Raw genomic sequence first — 27,411 nt, 5'->3', positions numbered from 1 at the left:
CTGAACACCTTTCACAACATACTCTCCTGGGACATGGACCATAGGGCCCCAGGATCCAGGTGCCTAATAATGGCACTAACTCTTGTGAGTAGTGTGGAGGGAAGGGACTAGTGGAGTCAGGGTCCATAAAATCAGCCTCTGCAGCTCCTGTAGAAAACAGCAAGAAATAGCAGCAGTACAGCCTTCTGAATTTGGTGAGTCTCAAGGTGGGGCCAAGGAAATTATGAGGAAGAGGATGCTGATGAGTGGAGGGGGAATCCAGGAGCCTGGTGTGAAAAGGATATAGAACTCTTTCAATAAGGCCTAGTGTAGTAGATGACAACCTTGCCACAGTACTTAGGTTCTGGTACAAGCATTACTGACCTATGGCTGTGATTTCCTTCAGAGCTGAGGCTAAGTCATTTCATGGCTTGTAGACTGAAAACTTCTGTAGGCTCAAAGACTCCTAACTATATCATAGCTATGAGGTCAAGGCTCTGTGCCTAGCTAGGTCATAATCTTCCTTTCTTCCCTACATTCATCTATGAACCTAGGTGACTGCTTCTTCTAGGCAATCATAGCTGGGCTCAAATCTTCCATTGCCATTTTGGTTAGTTCAGAATCTGTCTGACTTTTCCAGACTGTTAATGACTCATGGTCAGATACCATGTTTTGCTCATTGACACCTAGAATGAATAACCACAATGACCACTCCTTTGTGAATATCAGTCTAGGGTATGAACTGATGGAGTTGGCATACTGAAGATCGAAAACAATGCCCCAGATGGTCAACAATTCTTCATTTCTCAGATTAGGAGGCCTCAATTTCACTAAGGAAAATTCAGAGGGAGGAAAAATCATTCCAGCTATTAAGGAATTACAAGGTAACTATGAAACAAGGCTGAAAATATATTATTACCTGGAAGAATCTATCAGTGCTACTGGAAGTCCAAAAGAACATATGTCTTCCTGTATTCGTTAAAAAATCTGGGAGGCATTCCTGACTGCAGCCTTTCTCTGTCTCCTTAATCTTTCTTACACTGAATTTTCTTGTAGCCCTCCTCACCCCTCAAAATTACTCTTTCTTCTCCATTTACATGGTTATTACTTTTGTTCAGATCTTAATCACTTTTCCTTTGAACTATTTGGGACTCTCCAAAAAGCCTCCCTACCTTCCACGATTCGCCTTTGACCTATCTGCTATGGTCTCAGTGTTTGTGTCCTCGGAAAATTCATATGTTGAAATCCTAACCTCCCTCCCACCTCCAAGATGATGGTATTAGAAAGTGGAAACTTTGTGAGATAATTAAATTATGAGGGCTTATGGTTGAGACTGATACCTGTATAAAAGAGATGGTAGAGAGCTAGCTAGCCCCTTTCACCATGTCAGGACACAATGAGAAGGTGCCACCTCTGAACTAAGAAATGAGCTCTAGCCAGACAAGGAATCTGCTGGCACTTGGATCTTATACTTCTTAGCTTCCAGAACTACAAGATTTGAATGTTTGTTGTTTATAAGCCACCCAGTTTATGGCATTTTGTTTTAGCGGTTAAAGTGGTCTAAGACACCATCTATTGCATATCACGTTCCTTTTCAAATATTCTGTGATTTCCTACAATGTACGTGACAATGCCTACCATCAGACAGACTTCTAAGGATCCTCTCAAGGCTGCCACTGCTTCCCTTTGAACATCTTTTGACACTCTACTCTCCCGCCTCCTTTTCCCCAAAGAACTTGGGATGCAGTAGCCCCTAATGCCTAATTACTAGTCATTACTTAACATCCATGAAGGCAGGTTTTTTTGTTCTTACCTTTGCCTAAAAGGACAGTCTTTATTCTCCCCCACGAAATGTTACCTCATTTTTTTTGTCCTTTGATGCTCTTAGCTTGTTGCATCTTTTGACCTAACAGAACTTCAGAATATGACAGCCCCTTTCCCCTCCCACAATAACACCTAAAGTTACGTATCATTTATTCTATTTCATTTGTGAGAAAACTGGGCAATATGGAATTGAAATAGCTTTTAGGTTTACATGATCAGTATAAGAGCCAGAATTGTCATTTGTTTCTGCTTGAGGCTAACTTTTAAACCACATTACACTGCTTCATTATGTGAAATATTGTCTCCTTATTTTATGATTGTCATTATTAGAGCCACAACTGTATTGCACTATAAATGTTTGCAAGTCAATTTTCTCTACTAATTAGGTAAGCTCTCAAAAGATAATGGTTTTTGCTTAATTATGCAACGTACTGCTGTCTTTAGCATTCTGACGAGGAACTAAGAAAACACTATTTTCTCACTTGTTCAAATAGATTAAGCCATTCAGAGTAGCTATACTTGAGATTATTGGAAAGGAGAAGGCTTTACAGATAAGGTGAATTAGTTCAATCTGATTTCTCAAATTCACACTGAGGGTCATTTTCCTAATCAGATATTGAAATGCAGGGCAGAACTGATGCATAATTGTGCCTATTCCAGTTTTAACTCCTGAATTCTTGGTTTGTTTTAAGGCCCTACAATGGGTAAATTTTTTTAAATAATGTATATTGTATAATTTATGTTTAGAAAGTCTGGAATATTCAAGGTGAAAATTCTTGGATTAAATAAATACTTACATTATCTTCTCTGGCAGCTAAAGTCTTCTAATATCTTCTCATGCACACCTCAATCCTCTTACAGAAGACCTGTCAGATGGGACAGGGGTGAAAGATCAGTCATTGTAGCTATGCTGATTACACACTTCCTAATCTCCCTCTCTTTTTTCTTTTTTTTCTGAGATGGAGTCTCATTTTGTTGCCAGGCCGGAGTGCAGTGGCGTGATCTCGGCTCACTGCAACCTCCGCCCCCCAGGTCTGGTTCAAGCAATTCTGTCTCAGCCTCCCAAGTAGCTGGGATTACAGGCATGCACCACCACACCCAGCTAATTTTTGTATTTTTAATAGAGACGAGGTTTCATTATGTTGGCCAGGCTGGTCTTGAACTCCTGACCTCATGATCTGCCTCCCTTGGCCTCCCAAAGCTAGTCTCCCTCTCTTATCCTGCAATGACTCCCTGGCTACATTCTGCCTCTTTGACTGTGACAGTCATTGCTGTTACCCTTCTTAGTATTTGGCCTCTTTCTCTTTGTTTAGTAGTCAGGGAAAACAAATGATACCCCACAAAAGAAACAGCTGTAATCAAAGCAGATGAGTTTACAGAATGTAGATTACATATGCTAAGGATAATTGGATCCTGGTCACAAGGAAGAATAGGTAATTTTACTTACCAGGTAAGTGGGTTCTTGCATATATTTACTTGCCTAAAACTCACTCTCTGACTTCTATTCCATCTTTGGTGAACTTCAGCTCATTTGATTACAGCAGGTCCTCATGTAACATCATTTCACACAACGTTGTGTCATTATAACACTGACAAGGAAAAAAAATGGATTTCAGGTGGGGGCCACTGTCTGTGTGGTGTTTGCATGTTCTCTCCATGTCTCCCTGAGTTTTTTCTAGGTACTCTAGTTTCCTTCTACATCCCAACGATGTACTGTTTAAGTCTAAATTGTCCCAGTGTGACTGAGTGGTTGTGTGTGTGAGTGCTCCCTGTAATGCAATGGCGTCCTGGTTCCCTGAGCTTCTGGGAACCAACCCAAAGCTGCTGGGATAAGCTTGGCCCACCTGTAAACTTGAACTGGAATAAGTGGGTTGAGAAATGAATGAATGAATGAAAATCATTGTAAAGTAAATATTAGTAAAGTGTACTGAAATCATATAAACGCACAACAATAAATGATACTTGTGATTGCTGGTTTTTAAACTGCGTGGTGGTAGAAGATTCTTCTTACAATTTTCCCTTATCTCTATTTTATTACCTGTAACATTAGGATAACAATATTAATTACTCCTTAGTATTTTTTAAAAGGATGAAATGAGATAATGAATATAAAACATTGTGGCTGGCATATGATACATACTTGGTTAAATATAAGGGAGGATGATGACAGTGATTTTAAAAACTTTATTGGGACAGATACAGGGCCTCAGTGGAAACCCACACTCTACTACGTCTAGAATGTACTTTTTATGTTTCTGTACTTCTCTACTACGTTTTAAGGTACACTGGGTCTCCAGATTGATCAGGAAACTTTACATGGCATCTCCCAGCAATGACTCCACTGCCCCAGTCTCTGAATTCCTCCTCATCTGCTTCCCCAACTTCCAGAGCTGGCAGCACTGGTTGTCTCTGCCCCTCAGCCTTCTCTTCCTCCTGGCCATGGGAGCTAACACCACCCTCCTGATCACCATCCAGCTGGAGGCCTCTCTGCACCAGCCCCTGTACTACCTGCTCAGCCTCCTCTCCCTGCTGGACATCGTGCTCTGCCTCACCGTCATCCCCAAGGTCCTGGCCATCTTCTGGTTTGACCTCAGGTCGATCAGCTTCCCAGCCTGCTTCCTCCAGATGTTCATCATGAACAGTTTTTTGACCATGGAGTCCTGCACGTTCATGGTCATGGCCTATGACCGTTATGTGGCCATCTGCCATCCATTGAGATACCCGTCTATCATCACTGACCAGTTTGTGGCTAGGGCCGTGGTCTTTGTTATAGCCCGGAATGCCTTTGTTTCTCTTCCTGTTCCCATGCTTTCTGCCAGGCTCAGATACTGTGCAGGAAACATAATCAAGAACTGCATCTGCAGTAACCTGTCTGTGTCCAAACTCTCTTGTGATGACATCACTTTCAATCAGCTCTACCAGTTTGTGGCAGGCTGGACTCTGTTGGGCTCTGATCTTATCCTTATTGTTATCTCCTATTCTTTTATATTGAAAGTTGTGCTTAGGATCAAGGCCGAGGGTGCTGTGGCCAAGGCCTTGAGCACGTGTGGTTCCCACTTCATCCTCATCCTCTTCTTCAGCACAGTCCTGCTGGTTCTGGTCATCACTAACCTGGCCAGGAAGAGAATTCCTCCAGATGTCCCCATCCTGCTCAACATCCTGCACCACCTCATTCCCCCAGCTCTGAACCCCATTGTTTATGGTGTGAGAACCAAGGAGATCAAGCAGGGAATCCAAAACCTGCTGAAGAGGTTGTAAGAATAAAAAGGATTAGATCCACCTTTAGAGTTGTTAATTGTTAGTGAAAATTGGGAAATAGGGAATTAATTTTATGTTGGAAAGGAAATTTCACTTTAAATCCTGCCTGAGTTCGGATTCTTCTGTTCTCAATATCTCAGGCAACAATGAACACATTTATTTGTGAATCTTTGTTTTCTGTTGCTTGAAAGGAAACCTCCCTTTTCTGGATTCTATGGTTACTTTGGAATTTTTCCTGATCTAATCTGCAACAAAGAATCTTGCCAAGACTTTGACAAATGGAGCTGTATTAGAATGGAAGTGTTTGACCACTAAAGAAACAAACTTTATATAATGCCCTTAAAAAGATCAGCCTGTTTTTTGATTTGCAAATGACACTGATTCCTTCCCTGTCTCTGATTCAGCCTGGTAGACGGCTACCTGGCTTGTGTGCGATGAAGGCATGGCTTGGGTTAAGTCCAGATGTCCACCCTGGAACAACTTGGGGTTGAGTGCCTTGCCCTGAATACCCCGACTCTCTTCCATGGCACCTGAGGCAGATGTGCTATTCACTGGCTCCTAAAATTCTCCTAGACCCAATTAAGATATTCAGTCTGTACCACCTCTCTGAGGGCAGCGTTTTCTATTCTTTCTCTCTACTTAGATTTTCTTTCTTCAGTTTTTGGTTTGTAAATGAGGTTGATAAAGTTTTAGGATTTTTAGGTTGGGGAGGAGTTGTACTGTTTGAAGTGCTGTATGTTCTTTTCTTCATCATCTTCATCTTCATGTCGTTATAATCCTAGTTCCTATCTCACCTTGAAGTCCCCATCCTAGGCACAAATGAGCCATCCTGTTCATTCCCTCTGATGCTGTTTGCTGCATCCTCCCTCCTGAGCTGTGGCTGGCAAAGCTGCCAACAGTTTCCCAGACATGAAAGTTCTAGGTTTGTTTTTCACAGAATAGTGTATTCTACTATTTTGGCATTTCCTTCTTAATGATGCCACACAGTTCAGTATCTCCAAGGAATATAAACAGTCTTAATCTGTCTCTTTTGGGGATGCAAATTCAGATTTCAAGTCCATCATTTGTCCAGGCATTGTTTGACAACTGTCCCAACTGGACTATCCTACTTCCATTTGTACTGAAGCTTATCTTTGCTGAATGACTTGCATTAAAATAAATATCTCTACAGTGTTTAAAATGTTTAATATGTTACAGCATTTTTTATTACAGACCTGCTATATTCTAGCCCTAACATACTTTCGACTTATCTTAAACTTTGTTTTCTCTGCCACTGTAGCCAAAATGAGCTGCTCATTATTTCTTGAAAATTACTTATTCCCATTTTGCTCTCTCTCTTCAATCATTTGATGCTTCTCACATCAGCCTTCTTTTACCATTATCACCATTTGCCAAACCCCATCTTTCCTACCAGGTTTTTTTATTTTTTATTTTTTTATTATGTTTTAAGTTTTAGAGTACATGTGCACAATGTGCAGGTTTGTTACATATGTATACATGTGCCATGTTGGCGTGCTGCACCCATTAACTCGTCATTTAACATTAGGTATATCTCCTAATGCTATCCCTCCCCACTCCCCCTAACCCACAACAGTCCCCGGTGTGTGATGTTCCCCTTCCTGTGTCCATGTGTTCTCATTGTTCAACTCCCACCTATGAGTGAGAAAATGCGGTGTTTGGTTTTTTGTCCTTGCGATAGTTTGCTGAGAATGATGGTTTCCAGCTTCATCCATGTCCCTACCAAGGACATGAACTCATCATTTTTTATGGCTGCATAGTATTCCATGGTGTAGATGTGCCACATTTTCTTAATCCAGTCTACCATTGTTGGACATTTGGCTTGGTTCCAAGTCTTTGCTATTGTGAATGGTGCCGCAATAAACATACATGTGCATGTGTCTTTATAGCAGCATGATTTATAATCCTTTGGGTATGTACCCAGTAATGGGATGGCTGGGTCAAATGGTATTTCTAGTTCTAGATCCCTGAGGAATCTCCACACTGACTTCCACAATGGTTGAACTAGTTTACAGTGCCACCAACAGTGTAAAAGTGTTCCTATTTCTCCACATCCTCTCCAGCACCTGTTGTTTCCTTCCTACCAGGTTGAATTCAAATGCCATCTCCCACAGTAGGTCTTCCTTCCCTGATCCTCCCGACTGGAATCATTATTCTTGCATCTTGTGTGGCTGTATTTCTTTCTCTGACACTGTCATAAGCTTCTTTTAGGTTGAGAGTATTTTATTCATCTTTAAAATTCTGCATGGCTACTTTTACTGTCTCTTATACATACAGATAAATTTAAAATAAAAATGTGTTGAACAAAATCTGTAGAACATTTTATAAGTGATCTCTCATCTCTCATTTTCTTTAATAACTACTTGGAAACAACAATAAAATCTTATACTATTATATGTCCTTATAGTACCTAACAGAGAGCCATATTTTTAGCCAGCACAAAATGAACCTTTATATAGTGAAGACCATTAGGATTGAGACAGTCTGGAGAACTGGAATTTTATTCTCAGATAAAATAATTTGGCTAAATTTGTGTACTCCGCTTTTGTGAACTTTGGTTAAACTCATAAATTCTGGCTTAATTACCTTGAAAATGGTGTTAATTTATTTTTTATTGTTTTTTCAAAGAGTGAATTAATAAAAGTTTTTGTACAGTAAGTATATACACATTAAATTATATACACATTGAATGATTTATCATTATTATTATTTCCCCAAGCTTGCTGCTTCCCCTGCTGCCCTCTGAATAATAGGCTGACCGTTATTGCACACCTTATTTACCTTGGGGCATTAAGGTATCCATGGAATTTGAGTCCTCCTCTTTCCCTCTAGTTATTTTTGTCACTAGTTTATTTTCTTGAGAAGTTCTCTTGCTTATGTGAGGGTTATCATGTAGGAACTCCAAACTATTGGGTGCCCCATAAGACCTTTAGTTGAACATAGCCTATTTATATCCATTTCAGTCTGGGTGCACCACGAGGCTCTCCACAAGCATCCCTTCGGAAACACGTAGGGACAGCCATTGAAGATATGTGGCTATAATACCACTCCAGTGCTCACATTCTTTAAGGCTACCAGGCTTCCAATGCCACTTGCCCCTCCAAATTGTACCAACAATCCCATCTTGTATGTTTGAGAGAGCATGACACAATAATCATAAAATAGGAAACTGTTTTCACCATGTCCAAGCAGCTGTCTTGGTAAATTATCTTCGTAATTCATGACCACACAGTGTGCAGAGGCTTGACTGCTTTGCAATCCCTGCTCAAAGCAGTGTTAAGAATCCTCACTCTCAGTTTACCTATAAAATAGCAAATGAAACAGAGTCCATAAATGCTGTCTTACATATTTTCTCCAGAGTGTCCTATTGGGTTCTTATTTTAGTCCAACTTTTCTTCTTGGGGTAGAATAACTTCTGCAACTTCTCTCAAAATCAGGTGTCACTTGGCACTTCACCTGAGAAAAACTGGTCGGTTATTACTCGCTGCTTCTGAAATATTTTCAATAGAAAAGAGTGATAGTCCCTTCCCTTGGTGTTATCACTTTTGTCTGCCGCTCTCCCTTCTATCATAATTTCCCCTTTTTTTGCTTTATTATCCTTCCTAATTTAGACTCTTTCTAAGTGAGGGCCTCTGATTCAGGCACACAGACAATACATAAATCAGACTCTAGCAGGAGTCTCCCTGGGATCTTTTCTTTTCTCTAGGAAGAGGTGGTAGGGTTGGAAGGGTAACAGGTAGTGTGTAATGAAACCATCTCTATCCTCAGGCATTATTTATGGTCAGTCATAGCTTGGCCAGAGGAGGTGAGCTGATACCCAACCCAAGGTTTCCTTTGGAAGACAGAGAGAGAAGTTCAAAGTGACATAGGTAAAATCTCACCCAGTTATGCACCATTGTCTGCAACACAATTGTCATCCCACCATCTCATTCTTGGAGCCCAGACTTGTGAGGTGAGACAGAGGATTGTGTCTCAGCATCCTCTCCAGTTTCCTCACTCCTATTGCTGGTACCGAGAGGCTTTCCAAGGCATTTTTCCTTCACTGTCACACACATTTGGACAAATCTTATACCTGTCCAGTGAGTGAGTTGGATTTTCATGCTCTTATCATTAATAACAAATATTCCACTTGCCCATTCCAATTTTGAAGCCATTGTGATGTAGGTAATAGGGAAATGATATGTCTGTAATATGTTAGGCTTTATAGCCCATTTTTGTATACTGGCTATAATAAAATGACCCCGGTTTATGGATACTGTGTAATTCTCATTTAAACATAATTTTCCTAAGAGTATACCTAAAGTCTGAAATGAAGCTCTCTCTCTCCTAAGTCTAGAAATATTTGTTTTTCAAGTATATAAGATTTTAATTTTTATTTGTAATGCCTCAAGTCTCCGTGATGTTTCCTCAATTTTCTTCCTGTTAATCACTATCCCAATATTGGATTTTATCTTCTGTGTTTTCTACCCATGCCTCCCTGAAGAATAGGCCTATGCTCTAGGTTCAGATGCCTAAAATAGCCTTAGCCCTGGTGGGCTGTGGGGAGGGAAGTGGCAGAGTGGAGCTTAGGACAGGAAAATAGCTTCTGGAACCTCAGAGGGGGTAGGTCTGATGGTGCATTAAACAGTCACAAATAGCAATTACAGTACAGCATCCTTGAGCTGCTAGGTCTGCTTTGGAACTAGGAAAATAATGAGCATGAGAGTCATGTAGGGACCCAGGTGTTCCATATAAGCAGGAAGCATTCATTCTTCTGGTAGAAATGCAGCAAGTCTGGGGTTGAAGATTCAGATTCTGCCAATATTGCCAATATCCCAAAATCTGCTGTAGCCCTGCTTTCCCATGGGGGCAAAGTTTTTTAATGTGAGCTGTACACTACCCATTTAAACAGAACTGAGATTTCCAGAGTGAAGGTTCTTGAATTCGTTCATTCTTGTCTATGACAGCTGTAGACCAGGAGACTCAGTGAGTTTATGTTATCAACTATAATTCACCCCTCCTAGAGAAGATTGCCATGGAAGCATCAGAAAAGATAGGGCCATTAATCTCAGCTACCTTGATTTCTCCCTCCTGGGCTTCCCATCTCATCCTGCCTTGCTCTCAGTGCTCTTTCCTGCTTCTCTGTCTGGGACAGAAAACCTTTTCCATTGCTCAAGCGACTATACTCCTCAGAAAATTTCAGACTGGGCATGGGGTTAATTTTTATCTTTTGTTCATTGCCCCAGCAAAAAGAATATAATAACCAACTGGAAACAAAGCCAATGTCTCTAGAGAAATAGACTTATTTCTTTGGAATCTGGCCACAAATAAGTTTGTATAGTCTGACTATTTGGATGTATATCTGAAGCTGTAGTTGTTTCTAATTCCAATTCTACCTTTCGTCATCCTTTGTTAACAACATCTAGTTGTAGTTTCCAAATACATCTTATGTGAAAGAACGGTGCTCTTATTACCACATTTGGAGGAATCTAGAAATTTTGGAGTTCTTTACTGAATAGCCACATTGGTTCTAAAAAAAAAAAAAAACTTCACTGGTTTAAGGTAGGAGTAGAGGAAGAGTAATATCTACCCTAAGACAAAGAGGCTGGGCTACAGGTTACTGGAAAGTCCTAATGCCTGGTAGAGATTCTGTGAGGAGCTAAGCTGGGAACTTTGGATGTGTTGATTATCTCTGTTCTTAATGAGGTCTTCCCATTATGAAATCTGAAAGACCAGTCTACTAAGAAATCTCTGAAGGATTTTTGTTGCTATACTATTCAGCCACAAAATATTTGGTACATGTAATATATACACACACATATATATACACACATACATATATGTGTATATATTACATGTACCAAATTTTCTTTCCCCATTCATCTGTTGATAACATTAGGTTGACTCCATATGTTGCTATTGCAAATAGTGCCGCAATAAACATGGGAGTATAGACATCCCTTTGACATACTGATTTAATAGGGAAACAAAATCCTGTCATGTGCTATAGTATGGATGAGCCTGGAGGACACTATATTAAGTGAAATATTAAGACAAAAAGACAAATACCACATGATCTCACTCAAATGAAGAATATGAAAAAGTTTTCTATAAAGTCTTTGAGAGTAGAATGGTGGTTACCAGAGTCTGGTAGGTGGGAGGGAGGGATTGAGAGATGTTGGTCAAAAGATAAATAATTACAGTTAGATTAGAGGAGGCTGTTCAAGAGATCTATTGCACAGCGTGGTGACTATAGTTAATGATGACATATTGTATTCTTGAAAAATGAAAAGATAGTGAACGTTTGGTGGTGTTCTCACCACAAAAATGATAGTTATGTGAGGTAGTGTATATGCTAATTAGCTAGATTTAACTATTCCACATTGTATATATACTTTAAAACATGTTGTACACAATAAACACATGAAATTTAATCTGTCAATTAAAAACATACTAAAAGAAATCTTTAAAGGAACCTTGATGGGTAGTATTGAAAAAGACAATGAAAACTGTAATTTTGAGCTGACCCAGAAATCGAACCAAACTAAACAAGTTCCTGTATCCTGTCCAACTCAAGAGTCATGGTGCCATGTGACCATCACCAAGATTAAATTTATATCCTAAGGAAAATAAAAGGAGGTGTGTTTAGTTTCCCATAACTCTAGACCTCTGCTGTTCAACACAGTAGTTAAGAGCCATATGAACCCTTGAGATGTGGCCAGTCCAAATTGCAACACGCTATAAGTGTAAAGTGCACATCTGATTTTGAAGATTTAGTGCAAAAAGAATGAATAATACAAAATAGCTCTTCCACACTTTAAAATATTGGTTACATGTTAAAGTGGTCGTCAGCTAAGTCTGAGTCCTGTTCTCTCACTCTCCTACCTGCACAGCAGGAGTTTCACCACTCACTCCACCTTCTCCACCAACTACCGGTCCCTGGGCTGCGTCCAGCCGCCCAGCTATGGCACCCGGCCAGTCAGCAGTGCGGCCAGCGTCTATGCAGGCGCCGGGGCCTCAGGTTCCCGGATCTCCATGTTCTGGTCCACCAGCTTCCAGGTGGCTTGGGGTCCGGGCGCCTGGCTGCAGGGATGGCCGGGGGTCTGGCAGGAATGGGAGGCATCCAGAATGAGAAGGAGACCATGCAAAGCCTGAATGACTGCCTGGCCTCCTACCCGGACAGAGTGAGGAGCCTGGAGACTGAGAACTAGAAGCTGGAGAGCAAAATCCGGGAGCACCTGGAGAGGAAGGGACCCCAGGTAGACTGGGGACATTACTTCAAGACCTTTGAGGACCAGAGGGCTCAGATCTTCGCAAATACTGTGGACAATGCCCGCATCATTCTGCAAATCGACAATGCCCGTCTTGCTGCTGATGACTTTAGAATCAAGTATGAGACAGAACTGGCCATGTGCCAGTCTGTGAAGAGCGAAATCCATGGGCTCCACAAGGTCATTGATGACACCAATGTCACTCGGCTGCAGCTGGAGACAGAGATCGAGGCTCTCAAGGAGGAGCTGCTCTTCATGAAGAACCATGAAAAGGAAGTAAAAGGCCTACAAGCTCAGATTGCCAGCTCTGGGTTGACCATGGAGACAGATGCCCCCAAATCTCAGGACCATGCCAAGATCATGGCAGACATCAGGAACAATACGACGAGCTGGCTGGGAAGAACAGAGAGAAGCTGGACAAGTACTGGTCTCAGCAGATTGAGGAGAGCACCACAGTGGTCACATGCAGTCCGCCAAGGTCGGAGCTGCTGAGATGACACTCATGGAGCTGAGATGTACAGTCCAGTCTTTGGAGATAGACCTGGACTGGATGAGAAATCTGAAGGCCAGCTTAGAGAACAGCCTGAGGGAGGTGGAGGCCTGCTATGCCCTGCAGATGGAGCAGCTCAATGGGATCCTGCTGCACCTGGAGTCGGAGCTGGCAGAGACCTAAGCAGACAGGCAGCACCAGGCCCACGAGTAGGAAGCCCTGCTGAACATCAAGGTCAAGCTGGAGGCTGAGATCACCACCTACTGCAGCCTGCTGGAAGACAGCAAAGATTTCAATCTTGGTTGTTGCCTTGGACAGCCCCCAACTCCATGCGAACCATTCAAAAGACTACCACCCGCCACAGAGTGGACAGCAAAGTGGTGTCTGAGACCAATGACACCAAAGTTCTGAGACATTAAGCCAGCAGAGGCAGAGTACCCTTTAGGGAGCAGGAGGCCAATAAAAAGTTCAGAAGTTAAAAAAAATGTTGGTTACATGTTAAAGTGATAATACTTTAGATATGCTGAGTAAAATAACATATTAAATTCATTTTTACATGTTTTCTTTTACTTTTTAAAGATGGCTACTAAAAATTTAAAATGACATGTGGTTTGCATTATATTAATATTTCTCTTATAGTCATTATAGGGCTGCTATAGAGTATAGGGAAAGTTATATTAGGCAAAATGGAAGGGCCAATTTGTATCTTCCAACCTATATACATTCTTATATTTACATTTAATTCTCACCTTTGAGAAACAGGTTTTTACATTCTCAGAAAAGAGAGGAAAACTGAGTCTAGGAGGGTCCAACACTCATTAGGAAAACTGCCATTGTTGATGAAAAAAATGGGTGAGGGTGGACTTCCTCAGAGTGTTAAAGAAAGAGTATCATCTTTCTAGAGATGGCTGTATTTGCTTTTTAACAGGCCTCCCACCATCTATGCTTGACTTCTTCTCATCCATTCTCATAGGATATTTTGCTAATGAGATTTTGATCATGTCTCAATCCTCTGCTTAAAATTCTTCATGGTGCTCCACGGCCTTTTGACATGGCCTAAAAGACCCAGCATGCTCCAGTTCCTGCTTAAACTCTAGGCTCAGTTCCTGAGTACTAAAATCGCAAATTTTAACAATCCTTTTAGGTCTTTGAAAATACCAAGGTCCCTTTCCTCCTGCTTCACAGGTTTGTATCCTCATCCTATCCCCACACCTCCCTTCACTTTTAACCAATTCTTATGGGCACTAACTTGAATAGGGAGGGCTTTCCCGAACTTCCCAGACTGGGAAGGTCCTATGTACTTAATATATGTCATCCCATGACTAGTGAAAACCTTTTTATCATATAGATATTTATGAACATCTAATAGACTACCTGGAATTGGTAGATACCTAATCTACCAATCTACCATCTGCTTATTTATTCCCAAGGAGATTGTGGCTACTAGGTGGAGTGGGAAGCTTCGCTCCACCTAGTGGAGAAGCTCTGTTATTTCAGTGGGAAGCTTGTTACTGGGTAACAGATGGGACCAAGGAAAAGATCTGCTTGGTGATGGAAAAATAAGATAGAGAAGGCCTCAGCCCATCTCATTGGGAACTTGCTGGGATGGACTGTTGGAGAAGCCCTATTTGTCCTACATGCACCATGGCAAGGGGGTTGAGGCCCTTGGGTTTGTCACAATCCTACAGAGGAGAGGCAAAATGCTCAACTCACCTGAGGCAGGCAGCATTTGTCTTTTTTCAGAAACACACTCTGAAGCAGAGATTTGCATGCCGGAAGTTTATTGAGAAACATACAGGAGAACAATGATTGTCAGGGAGTGAGAGGAGCAAAATGAAGCAGAAGAAGAAATTAAACTATGATCTAGTTTTCTCAGATGACTCAGCTAACCCAGTGGGACCTCTCAAGCTAGGATGACTCTTCAGTGTTGTTTAAGATTGAAGAAAGGGAGCCAAGATTTTGTATTCTTATATCAGCAGTCATTGGGTGTGAACTGCGTTGGAGAAGGAAAAGTAAACTATGGTGAGGGCTCTCTCTTTGGCCAAAGGGGAGTGACTTAGTTATGAACTTCCAGCAGGCGACACTCCTAGCATCTGAAAGAATGAGCACATTGAACAACAGCATCCACTAAATAATTTACTGGGGTCCAAGATTGTTCCGTGAGAATGAGAAGTCTGAGCTCACAGAGCAATGTGAAATTTCCCAGCTCACTGCATGAGGTTTCCTAGCACACTGTCAGGACATACAGGCTTACAGGTAATGACCAACATTGGACAGACACGGTCCACGTGGTTAGGTGCAGGAGCCACTCCCTGCTTGGCCTCTCTGTCCAATCACCTACCCCTGTGGGCTGTATCCTTAGCTCTGTGCCTTTCCAGCCAATCTGGGGGCTAACTTAGGCTTTGTGCAGGTTGTCTATGAGTCCTCTGGGACCTGCCAATTGGTAATAATATCCTGCTTGCCCAGTGGTGCTCACAGTCACCACCACTGCCCTGGGAAAGTATCAAGGATAAACTTTCCTTTCAGATGAAGATGACAGAAACAGTGACAAGTTGGTGCACAGGAATTCAGCAGTGGAAAATGAGGTCAGTTTCTGGGTTTACAGTTGGGGGAAGACTATGGCCAGCTGAATTCTGCCCTTCTCAGAGCCCTTGTGACAGGGGTTATTTCTCAGCTTGTGTAGTGTGGCTCTCCCAATACCTCTGGTCTGACACTTCTTAGTAGTCTTAAGCTTATTTCTCTGAGTTAGAATAGTTGTTCTCTCCTGGCCTGACTCCTCAAACAAACTTTCTCCTCCTGGCTTCTACCATTTAGATGCTAGTGGACATGGAGGCTCTTCTATGAAATGTGACCTGTCCCTCTCTCTTTAATCTCCTTGTTAACAGTGGCCTGGACTCTATGACAGTGGGGGAAAGGGAGAGAAAAGAATATAGATGGAAAATGATTAGGGGAGGGCTGAGAGCTAACCTGTGAGCCTGTGGACACCTACCAATGTCTTTAACCCTTCATGGTCAGCCTGAGGCATTCACAGGGCCATTTGGCATGGTCCTAGGTGGCATCCTCACCATATGTATTGCGTATGTAGATACAGCTGATTTGCTACCTTTACTCAAGTCTTGCCAGAGCTAGTACTCATGTTTCATATCTTTGGAAAATTTTAGCTGCATAGACCTTGAGGGATGCATTTGATGTCCTCTTTGATATTCAGAGACTGCTGTGCAGCCATTCTGAATAGAAAATCCTCTTCATCATTGTTCCCCACAAGCTAGGGCAGAATTTCATCATGGAGATTGAACTGGAGACTTAGGGAGTTCCTGGGGCTAAGCAGGGAGGGCTGTAGTGGAACCTTCTTGAATTTTCCAGAAAACTCTTCATGAAAATTCCCAGACCTTCCAGAGTCTGAGAATTTTCTCCCTTTCCTAGTTCTCTCTGTGTTGCAGTCTCCCTCCAGGCTGACCTGAGTCTTTAAAGGGCACATCATCAAAGACAGCCCAGAGACCAGAAGGACAGTGCCCTGTGCCAGGCTTACTTTATTATCCATGTTGTGAGTGGAGCTCTGCCTCTTAATGTTTGATTTTTGTATCTTCGTCTTTTATTAGGTCATTGTCATGGACCCACTCTTTCTGTGCCCTCCCTCCCCTACTGTTTCTGTAAGTTCTTGCCTCTTCTTTTTTACCCTATTATCATAGAGATCAGGCCACTGTTAAGAAGGAGATTGAGGAGAGAGGGATAGATTATATCCCATAGATGGAGCCTCTCTTCCTGCTAGAAGCAGTGCAGAGTGATTACTAGGGACCAAAGAAACCCTCTTATTTCTGAACACATCCAGGATTTCACCATCTTCTCTTATGGCAGAGATTCAGCAGATCTCTTTCTGCCATGAAGCACCCAGAGCATCACTTAAGGTGAGGAATATCGAGGCTCAATCAGTGACACCCTCAAAAGACACGCCACTGTTTGCTACATGATTCCTATGCTTAAATTTAGCCTCTGCCTTATCACCTTCCTGTGATTCTCAGTCTTTTAAGACACTAGTGCACTTATTTATTTTTTAATCTAATAATATGAGTGTTTACTTATTCAGCCAACATTACTGATTACTCACTAGATTCCGGATGCTCCTGGAGCTTGCTCTGGGGCTGCTGAAATAAGTAATGCAGAGTCCCTGCTCTTTAAAGACTGACATGATGCCTGGCTTAGAGTGTGAGGTCTTAATGCAGGGACAAAGTGGTAAAGGCATTACAATAGGAAAGAAAAGGAGACATGTCATACTACCTTACAGAATTTGAGCACAACTTCACAAAAGAAAGGTTGCTTGGGTTGAATTAGATGAATAAGTACCAATTGAACAACATCTACTCTTTGGTAATTGTCCTCTGCTTTGTAGTTGAATAACTAAATACAGCTTTGCCTTTAGGTTCCTGGGAATAAAGTCCTTTCTGCTTTTCCTCTAAGAATCATAGCGGGACCTCCTGTTTACTTTAATAACAATTAATTGCAATTTATTTAAAAAATTCAAGAGCTTTAAGAGTATAAGTGGTTTTGGTTACATGGATGAATTGTATAGTGATGAAGTCTGGGCTTTTTAGTGTACCTATTATCTGAATAGTGTACATTGTGCCCAATATGGGATTTTTTTATGCCTTATCCACCTCCCACCCTCCCCTACTCTGAGTCAGAAATTAAATTAAAATAAGTTAAAAAATTAACATTTACTAAGCACTTGCAGACTTTTACCCTAGGCTTACGAGCCAAGCAACACAAAGTAGAAGCCGGTTATACTCAGTTACATGTGTCTCTGCTTTTCCGCTTATTTGTTTACTTAATTTACTTCTCTGCTTTATTTACTTACTTCTTACTTTATTTACTTTATTTACTTCTCTACTTATTTATTTACTTATTTCAGCAGCCCCAGGGCTAGTTTGGTTTTAGCCTCACTGCTCTGCTCACACTGCTACTATTCAAGTCTTGAGTGCCTTCCACAAATGCACAGCTGTTCTCTGACTCCTTAGCTAAAAAATGAGAAATGGGCTGAAGCGTGCAACAGAAGGAGGTAGGCAAAAAAGACAATGGACTTTCTCTCTATGTGGAATGTTAAGCACTGAGAGGTGAATTTTTGTAAGATTATGAGATTCCCCTGGATGTCTCAATAAAAATGTCATTGTTATTTCAAGTTGATTCTAGAAGAAAAACAGAGAAACTTGGGAGATATATGCCCACGTGGCATTTCAGACTTTATAGCTATCATATTCAGAGTTTTAGGGCAATATGATTGTCATCATTAATTTGTACAAAAAGAGCTCTGAGTAATCTATGGATGCATTATCCACAAGAACTAAGTCATTCTTGACTTTTTAATCTTTACACGCACATGTGCACCACCACTCCAACAGAGAAAAATACAGTTATTTCAGACTACGCCTGTCCTTTAAGACAAACATACCTACATACACATATCCAGTTTCAAGTTTTTTCTTTTAGTAAATTTCAAGGGTGAATCCCATGGACAAAGTTGATACTTCATGTTAACATGCGGTTGTCAAAGACACTGAATTGTTTGTTATAATATCATGATGAGAGGTAAACATATCAAAAGTTTGAAAAAGAGAAGCAGAGTCATGGAGACAAAGAAGAAAAGAAAGAAGCCTGTGGTCTAATTCTCAGTCATCTTCTATTGCTAATATTAAAATAATTATAACTATAATTTGTAGACTAATCTAGATATCAAGACTTTACATATATTACTTAATTAATGTTTACAATAAACCTGTAAGATTGATGTTAGTTATAAAATAAGGAAATCAAGACTGAGAGAGTTTTAGTATCCTGCCAAGGTTTTATTCCTAGAATATGAAATGGACAAAATTTAAACTAAGTCTGTCTTCCTCCATTGCTTTTATTTATCTCACTACATTGTGAAATGTTCACCATGCTATGTTATAATTATAAAGTATAATAAGATATGTTTCTTTAAAAAAACAAACCATTAAGACACTGATAGAATTTCTAGAGATAAGTCAGAAAGTTATGGATGAATAAAGGAAGATTATAAAGTGCTCTGAACATAATCAATATTCATCTGACATAGGCAATGAGTCCTTTTGAGGGGTGACAGTGGACTTTGAATTTTGAAGGACCAATTCAGATAAAGGAATTTGGAGACAGACTACACAAAAGGCATAGGTAAGCTTGGTGTGTACATGTAACTCCAAGAATGCAGGGATGGTTAGTAAAACATATGTAGAAATATATCAACTGTAAGACAAAAGTAATGCAAAAAAGATAACTTTTGATAATCTTTTATGCCAGTCTCAAAGTATGATTTTATTCCATGCAATAAATTCACCAAAGGATTTTAATCTTAGGAGTGATATGATGAGATCTGCATTTTAGAAAAAAAACCCATGACTTCAGGGTTGAGAGTGAATTGGGAAGGTGTTTATGGCAAAGGCAGAAAGATGTTATGAAATAGTCCAGGTGAGAGAAGTTGGGTGTAAACTAAGGTAGTGATATTGGGGGTTGAGAAGAAGGAGTGGATATAAGAGGGGTTAACATAAAGTCAACATGAATTGGTGAATGAATAAAAGGGGATGAGGATTATGAGTAAAGACAGGTTCCAAGTTTTTAGATTGGGTTGTGTAGGTAGCTAGGGATGTAATTAAAAATTATTGCCAAAACATAAGTAGAACAAATTTGGGAAAAATAGGTGAATTAATCCAATGTTGAATATGTTGAGGATGTGGTGTATAGATATTCATAAAGCAAATGGAAAAATGGATTTATATTTCAGAAGGATATTTGGGTAAACAGACATAAATTTGGAAGAAATAAAAGTATATAAACAGTTAAAACCATGGGAATAAATGAAGTCAATTAAGAGATAATGCACAGAATAGGGAATACAGGAGAGGATGGATCCCTGGAATCAATGACATAATGAGATAGAGAAAATGGTGGGACCAAGGCTACAGGGGGAACAACTCTGGAGTGCCATGTCATGGAAACTGAGGAAGACTAATTTCAAAAACAACAGATTGATTCACAGTGGTCAGTAATACCAAGAGGCTAATAAAAATAACTCTTTGAAGTTGACAGTTCCAAAATATAAGCAACTGAATAGTAGAGTTTAAGCATCTCTCCAAAAGCAGCTTATGTTTACTCTTATCTCTAAACAAAACTAAGCTTGTATTAATTCAGACATGTGGATGTCTCACTTGTAAAAGAATTATCTCCACCAAAGGAGATTTTCTTCCCTGTAGCTAACTTTATTCCCTTCGTTTGCAGTTGAAGTCACTTTATTCTTCTCAGGATGATGGTTGCCCCATTTGGACAATGTGATAATGTAGCAGGAATGCAGAAATCATGACTTTGGTTTCTTTTTTCTCTTTCCTCTCCAAGCCATTGATAATGCTCCTTAGCAATTCAAGCTGGAGGCTATCCCAGCCTTCTTTTCTCCTGGTAGGGATTCCAGGTTTAGAGGAAAGCCAGCACTGGATTGCACTGCCCCTGGGCATCCTTTACCTCCTTGCTTTAGTGGGCAATGTTACCATTCTCTTCATCATCTGGATGGACCCATCCTTGCACCAATCTATGTACCTCTTCCTGTCCATGCTAGCTGCCATCGACCTGGTTCTGGCCTCCTCCACTGCACCCAAAGCCCTTGCAGTGCTCCTGGTTCATGCCCACGAGATTGGGTACATCGTCTGCCTGATCCAGATGTTCTTCATCCATGCATTCTCCTCCATGGAGTCAGGGGTACTTGTGGCCATGGCTCTGGATCGCTATGTAGCCATTTGTCACCCCTTGCACCATTCCACAATCCTGCATCCAGGGGTCATAGGGCGCATCGGAATGGTGGTGCTGGTGAGGGGATTACTACTCCTTATCCCCTTCCCCATTTTGTTGGGAACACTTATCTTCTGCCAAGCCACCATCATAGGCCATGCCTATTGTGAACATATGGCTGTTGTGAAACTTGCCTGCTCAGAAACCACAGTCAATCGAGCTTATGGGCTGACTATGGCCTTGCTTGTGATTGGGCTGGATGTTCTGGCCATTGGTGTTTCCTATGCCCACATCCTCCAGGCAGTGCTGAAGGTACCAGGGAGTGAGGCCCGACTTAAGGCGTTTAGCACATGTGGCTCTCATATTTGTGTCATCCTGGTCTTCTATGTCCCTGGAATTTTCTCCTTCCTCACTCACCGCTTTGGTCATCATGTACCCCATCATGTCCATGTTCTTCTGGCCACACGGTATCTCCTCATGCCACCTGCGCTCAATCCTCTTGTCTATGGAGTGAAGACTCAGCAGATCCGCCAGCGAGTGCTCAGAGTGTTTACACAAAAGGATTGATCTGAACATATTCTCATTGTTTCCTTCGGAGGCTTCTTCTGCGGACCACAGCCAGGAGCCTGTGACTGGTGTAGATTACATGAATACAGACCATTTTGCAGTGAGTATTCCTTCTAGTCTTACTAGTGCCATGCTAAAGAACACCCACAGATACTTGGCTTATTGGGATGTACCTGGATATCTGGATTTGTGAATATTTTTGCCATTTTTTCTTTTGCTCTTGATTTCAACATTTCTCTACTCCTTGTGTCAGTAGGACTTGGGGATAGGAGAAATAGATGATAGCTCTGAATGTGTCATCTTTCTCGCCTTTGCCCAATGGTAGGCCATGCAACACTGTCTGGAATTGTAAAGTCCCACCCTTTGGTTGGTTTTAGGTTTAGAGTTTCTTCAAAACCTCTAAGTTAGTGCTGGGATCCCCAGATCATTGGCTCCTGTTTACCAATAGGGTCTCTTCAAAGCAGCTGAGAAGGTCGCAGTGTAAGAAAACAGCATTTATTGCAATATGGGTATTACTTATTTATTTAAAACAAACATAAGTGGAGAAGTTATGGTAATAGGCTCTAGGAATAATAAAATATAATTTCTATTTTCAAGGAAGAAATCTATATGTGTCTAGGAAATTTATTTTAAAAGATATCTCTTTGTATTTTCAACTTATTTATATTCATGCTTTGGATAAAGAAGGAATAAGACCAAGTACTGCGTATATGTTTGTTTTATAAATATTCATTAAAAAACCCAAAAGTAACCATATAATTATTAGCATCTAATAACTACAAAATGTGCTAGATCCCGGTGTTGGTAAACATAGCTATAATAAATAAAGCAATAAGTATAGTAGCAGTTATGGACACTTAAAAATGGGTTTCTCTTTTGGAAATAGGGCATGTGGAGTGGTGTCAATTAGATCTTCTATTTCTGTTAATAGGAACTGGGTGAAAACTTAAAAGATGACTGCTACAATTGATATATTGCAACCTGTTTGTTGATGTTGCCCTGAGATCTGGCCTAATTATTTTTGTTCCTAGAAGGTAACACATTTTGTTTAGTCATGGAAGAAGTCAAGTCATTGCTACTTTGATGTAAGATGCTCGGGAGATAAGATTTATTTTGGGATTTCATATTGGTAGGAGGGGTAGAGTTAATAGTTGTTTTTTCTAGTTTTTCTTTTCTTAGTAAATTTTACTCATAATAACTAGTACTCTGTCTGAGAGGCTTAGTATCAGGCCTTTAACTTGGCCGTTGCAAGTAGATGAATTAGGGAGGACTGGTATGAGCTGTTTTTATTGCAGGAGGAATTGCACATTCTAATCAGCTTCATTCCCAGTCTAGGGCTTAAACTCTGGTAAATTGTCCTAGAGAAAATCAGGGTATGATGTATTACATCTATTGTAACAAACTCTCTTAACCCTAGAGAGTCTAAGCTTCATCTCAGGCAGCTTTCTTGGATCACAAGACAGAAATGTGAACTGAAGATGGAAGAGTAACAATACAGAAGAGCTGTGTTCCTGACACTGTCTGGGCCACCAACCATGACTTGAACCTGAAACAGAAATAAACCTGTATCTGGGTTAAACCACCATTTTTTTGGTAATCTTTGTTGTAACAGACCAACCTACAGCCTAAAAAGTATACGTTTTTCATCTCAGATCTTCCAAGTGGGATATGTATTCTTTTGCCTGAAGTATATCTTTTAGAATTCCCTCTTGTAAAGGTTTGCAGTTTTTGTTTGTTTAAAAATGTCTTTAATGCAGGGTTCTCTGGTAAGTCATAATTAGAAAATACAAGTGGAACCAGAGGATAGAGGAGAGACTCTTAATTCTAAATCTTTGCACCTCTTCCTACTACCTTATTCCACCTGGACATGAGGCAATTTAATTTGAAAATTCGACTCCAAGCACAATTATCCAGCCATCTGAAAGACATCGCAAAATCTCATAAATGGAACCTTAGCGGAATATAAAATGCAAAACAGTGAGTGGCTGTTTTCCAGGTTTCTCTCTAAAAAGCAGGTCACAGGCTCTTATGCAGGTTAGGCTATGGTATTTAAATACAAAAAAAGAGAGTGTTTACTACCATCCTTACATATCCATGAGGCAGGCAGTGAAACAGATCAGAACATGTTTTGTACTTTTGAAACACAATAACCCCATCCATTGCATCCATTGCTCCCAATGATCTCTGCCCAATTGTATTAGTGACCCTTCTTCCCATATGGAAAAGCAAGCAAAGGAGAGAAGAAACCGGAGAGAAGAGAGAAGTATTCACTCCCATATGTCCCCCTTGTGGGGAGAGGAAGAAGAGCCTTCCTCTGTGGAAGTATAAAGTGTAGAGAATGAGTTTTGTTCTAATAGGCAGTATGAGGGAGCCTTCTCATCCTTTGGGTGAGGGAACTTTGGGCTTATTGCTAATGTCACATGGGGGTTTAGAAAGGCATGGGGAGCAGGGGCAGGAGATTTTTTTTTTTTTTTAGTATGTGTGCAGGGTCATAGTCTCTTACCAATACAGAATTAAATTGGAAAACAATAACAATAAGGTAGCATGAAAAGAGTTAAATAATTGGAAACTAAACTAAATACATCTCAATAACCCATGGATCAACTAAGAAATCACAGAGGAAGTCAGAAAATATTTCAAACTGATTGAAAAGTACATATAGCAAAAGTTGTGAGATGTAGCCAAAGAGAAAACAGAGAAAAATTTATACTTTAAATGCCTATATTAGAAAAGAGTAAAGTTGTAAAATCAATTATCTAAGTTAACAACTTAAGAATTTAGAAAAGGAACAATAAATTAAGTCCAAGGTAAACAAGAGTAAGGTATTCATAGTGATGAGAGCAGAATAGAGAAGAGCCAATATGGCTGACTAGACACAGCCAGGAAGAGCTTCTCCCACCAAGAGACAAAACCATCAAGAATACTGACAACACTTTGGGCAGATCTTTGGAAGGGAGGAATTGAGAGCAGACTGAGGGAGGACACAGACGCTGGGCTGAAAGAGGAGGAAGCTGGAAATCCTGCATGGGGTTGCTGAGCACCAGGTCTCATTTCTGGCCTTGAGTGGCTCCTGGGGAAGGAGTGAATTAAATAGGCAATGTGTGGCCCACTCTCCATGTACCTCTGGAATCCTAGCTGCAGGGGACCCCACAACCCCCATAAACATTTGAGCTATCAGGGAGAAGTGTTTGGAGACATGGAAGGAACGGGACTCCAGTCTATGTGGAGCCCAGAGGGTTTGGCATGGGACTGGCTGCAGTGGAACACAGAGACACCCATCCCCCAAGGCTTGCCATGCTCCTCTAGGTGGCTTTGACCTTGTTGACTGTTGGCCCTGTAGAGAACAGGGATATCTTGCCTGTGCGACCAGGCAAGTCTGATCTGAGTGCTGCCCTGTCTGCCAGCCTCTTTCTGGGTCCCAGCATGGCTCCATGTGCTTCATCACAGCCTCAGTTGCCAAACCAGGGAGCTTCCCAGTGGCAACTGCCATAGCTCCTTCACTAGCAGACTCCACCTAATTGTCAGAGAGCTTTGGCAGAAGCCCCCCGACCCCTGCTGACATGCACTCACCTGCACCCTGCCCCCACTGCTTTGCTAGAGTCATGCAGACATTGACACCCCGCCATCGCCAATGCACATACACGTACACAAACCTCAACGTCACCACCCTTCCACTGCCAATGCACACGTATGCGTGGACCCCACTATGCCATTAAACTACCACTGTCATTGCACTGCCACTGCCACCATGCCATCACTCTGCCACTGCCAGCACATGTGCTGCCCTGACACTGCCTGAACACACGTGTAAGTGAGGACTCTCCTGCCACTTCCCTGATGAAGCACTTTTGGCAGCACCCTCCACTGGACTGTTGTTGCCACGGGACGGAGAACACCTTGGCTCCTCCAGTGCAGTAGGTGCTTAGCTTAGAGGGGCCAGAGAACACAGCCATGGGCCTTGTCCCAGCTCCTCAGGGTTAGAGCACACAACCCAGGAGTGCTGAGTTGAACCATGGCCCCCTGAATATATCCATAAATGAAGCTAGTTGACTGAATCCAGTTTACACCACAGTGAAACCCTTAAGGGCGCCAAAGAATATAAAAGCAAAAAGCCTCATCCTAAGGACAAATCCAAACATTAGAGGAACACCAGCCAATACAGATGAGGAAAAACCAGCATAAGAACTCTGTCAACTCAAAAAGACAGGGTATCTTCTTACCTCCAAAAGACCACCTAGTTCCCAGCAATGGTTCTTAACCAGGCTGAGATGGCTGAAATCTCAGACATAGAATTTAGAATCTGGATGGCAACAAAGATCACAGAGATTCAGGAGGAAGTTGAAATCTAATTCAAGGAATCTAAGGAATCCAGTAAAATGATAGAAGAGCTGAAAGACAAATAGCCATTTTAAGAAATAACCAAACTGATTTGATAGAGCTGAAAAATTCACTACAGGAATTTTGTAGTACAATTAGAAATACTAACAGCAGAATAGACAAACTAAGGAAATAATCTCAGAGCTTGAAGATTACTGTTTGAATCAATTCATTCAAACAAAAATAAGAAAAAAGAATAAAAAGGAATAAATGCAACTTTTATTAAATATGCAATTATGTTAAGAGACCAAACCTATGACTGATTGACATCCCTGGAAGAGAGGGAGAGGGAGCAAGCAACTTGGAAAACACATTTGAAGATATTCTCCATGAAATTTTCCCAACCTCAGTAGAGAGTTTGACATTCAAATTCAGGAAATGCAGAGAACCCCAGTGAGATACTCTACAAGATGACCATCCTCAAGACACATATTCACCAGATTCTCCAAGGTTGTCATGAAATAAAATGTATTAAAGACAGCTAGAAAGAAGAGGCAGGCCACCTACAAAAGGAAGCCCATCAGATTAACAGTGGTTCTTTCAGCAAAAAACCTCACAAACTAAAAGAGATGAGGGACCTATTATCACTCTCCTTAAAGAAAAGAAATTCCAGTCAAGAACTTCATATCCAGCCAAACTAAGCTTCATAAGCAAAGAAGAAATAAAATCCTTTTTACACAAGCAAATGATAAGGAAATTTGTTACCAGTAGACCTGCCTTAGAAGTGCTAAGCATGGAAATGAAAGACTGTTGCTGACCACCACTAAAACACACTTAAGTACATAGACTATTGACACTACAAAGCAAGTACACAATCAAGTCTACATAACAGCCAACTAAAAACACGATAGGATCAAATCTGCATATATTAATATTAACCTTGAGAATAAATGGGGTAAAAACCCCACTTAAAATGTTCAATTTGGTAAGTTGGATAAAGAAGCAAGACCCAACTATATGCTGTCTTCAAGAGCCTTGTCTCACATACAATGACATTCATAGGCTCAAAGCAAAGGAATGGAGAAAAATCTATCAAGCAAATGGAAAACAAAAAAGAGCAAGCATTGCTATTTTTATTTCACACAGAACTGACTTTAAACCAACAGTGATCAATGAGGACAAAGATGGGCATTACATAATGATAAAGAGTTCAATTCATCGAGAAGACTCAACTATCCTAAATATATATGCACCCAACACTGAGCATTCATAAAAGAAGTTCTTAGAGTCCTACAAAGAGACTTTGATAACCACAGAATAATAATGGGAGATTTCAATACCCCATTGATAGTATCATACAGATGACTGAGGCAGAAAACTAGCAAAGATCTTCAGGATCTAAACTCAACACTTGAATAAATGGACCTAAGAGACATCTACAGAACACTCCACCCAACAACCACAGAGTATACATTCTGCTACTCTGCACAGGGTACATAATCTAAAATCAATAACATGCTCAGCTATAAACCAATTCTCAATAAATTAAACAAAATTGAAATTATACCAGCTACATTCTCAGATAACAGCACAACAAAAATAGAAATCAATACCAAGAAGATCTCTCAAAACCATACAATTACATGGAAATTAAACAATCTGTTCCTGAATGATTTGGGGTAAATAATGCAATTAAGGCAGAAATCAATACATTGTTTGAAACTAATGAGAACAGAGATATAACATATGAGAATCTCTGGGACACAGCTAAAGCAATGTCAAGAGGAAGGCATATAGTGCTAAATGCTCACATCAAAAGTTTAACAACCTAACTTCCCACCTAGAGGAACTAGAAAAACAAGAAGAAAACAACCCCAAAGCTAGCAGAAGAAAACAAATAACCAAAACCAGAGGTGAACTGAA

The 27,411-nt window shown here is 40.8% G+C and overlaps 3 protein-coding genes, 1 long non-coding RNA gene and 1 pseudogene across 5 annotated transcripts in view; 4 read left to right on the top strand and 1 right to left on the bottom strand.

Annotated features, from left to right (window-relative positions):
- Nucleotides 1-27,411, bottom strand: part of OR56A3 (olfactory receptor family 56 subfamily A member 3) — a 79,760-nt gene that overhangs the window by 14,899 nt on the left and 37,450 nt on the right. Inside the window, exons 4-5 of one of the 2 annotated variants that reach the window (XM_047426926.1) lie at nt 3,251-3,392; nt 2,601-2,669 (exon numbers count right to left, since the gene is read on the bottom strand). The gene's annotated coding sequence lies outside the window, so the exon portion shown is untranslated. Of the gene's footprint in view, nt 1-363; nt 718-2,600; nt 2,670-3,250; nt 3,393-27,411 lie in introns of those variants that run through there. The other variant, XR_007062481.1, reaches the window with a different exon arrangement.
- Nucleotides 166-7,667, top strand: OR56A4 (olfactory receptor family 56 subfamily A member 4). Its single transcript, NM_001005179.4, has 3 exons — nt 166-194; nt 709-863; nt 4,084-7,667. The coding sequence occupies exon 3, from the start codon at nt 4,120-4,122 to the stop codon at nt 5,059-5,061; it is 942 nt and encodes a 313-aa protein (NP_001005179.3). The 5' UTR covers nt 166-194; nt 709-863; nt 4,084-4,119; the 3' UTR covers nt 5,062-7,667.
- On the top strand, nt 11,903-13,292 carry KRT18P58 (keratin 18 pseudogene 58; annotated as a pseudogene).
- OR52L1 (olfactory receptor family 52 subfamily L member 1) lies at nt 20,127-21,220 on the top strand. The gene has a single exon (NM_001005173.3). The coding sequence runs from the start codon at nt 20,182-20,184 to the stop codon at nt 21,169-21,171; it is 990 nt and encodes a 329-aa protein (NP_001005173.3). The 5' UTR covers nt 20,127-20,181; the 3' UTR covers nt 21,172-21,220.
- LOC124902621 (uncharacterized) lies at nt 22,036-22,746 on the top strand. The gene is made up of 2 exons (XR_007062564.1): nt 22,036-22,205; nt 22,589-22,746. It is a non-coding gene; the product is annotated as an uncharacterized LOC124902621 (long non-coding RNA).

Source organism: Homo sapiens, chromosome 11, assembly GCF_000001405.40.
Source record: "Homo sapiens chromosome 11, GRCh38.p14 Primary Assembly".
NCBI lineage: Eukaryota > Metazoa > Chordata > Mammalia > Primates > Hominidae > Homo > Homo sapiens.
The sequence above is the reverse complement of the archived record's forward strand: the minus strand, read 5'-3'. Positions and strand labels throughout refer to the sequence as shown.

Excerpts from the sequence above, each read along its gene's own strand:
- OR56A4 (NM_001005179.4), top strand. The coding sequence starts at position 4,120 with ATGGCATCTCCCAGCAATGACTCCACTGCCCCAGTCTCTGAATTCCTC.
- OR52L1 (NM_001005173.3), top strand. The coding sequence starts at position 20,182 with ATGACTTTGGTTTCTTTTTTCTCTTTCCTCTCCAAGCCATTGATAATG.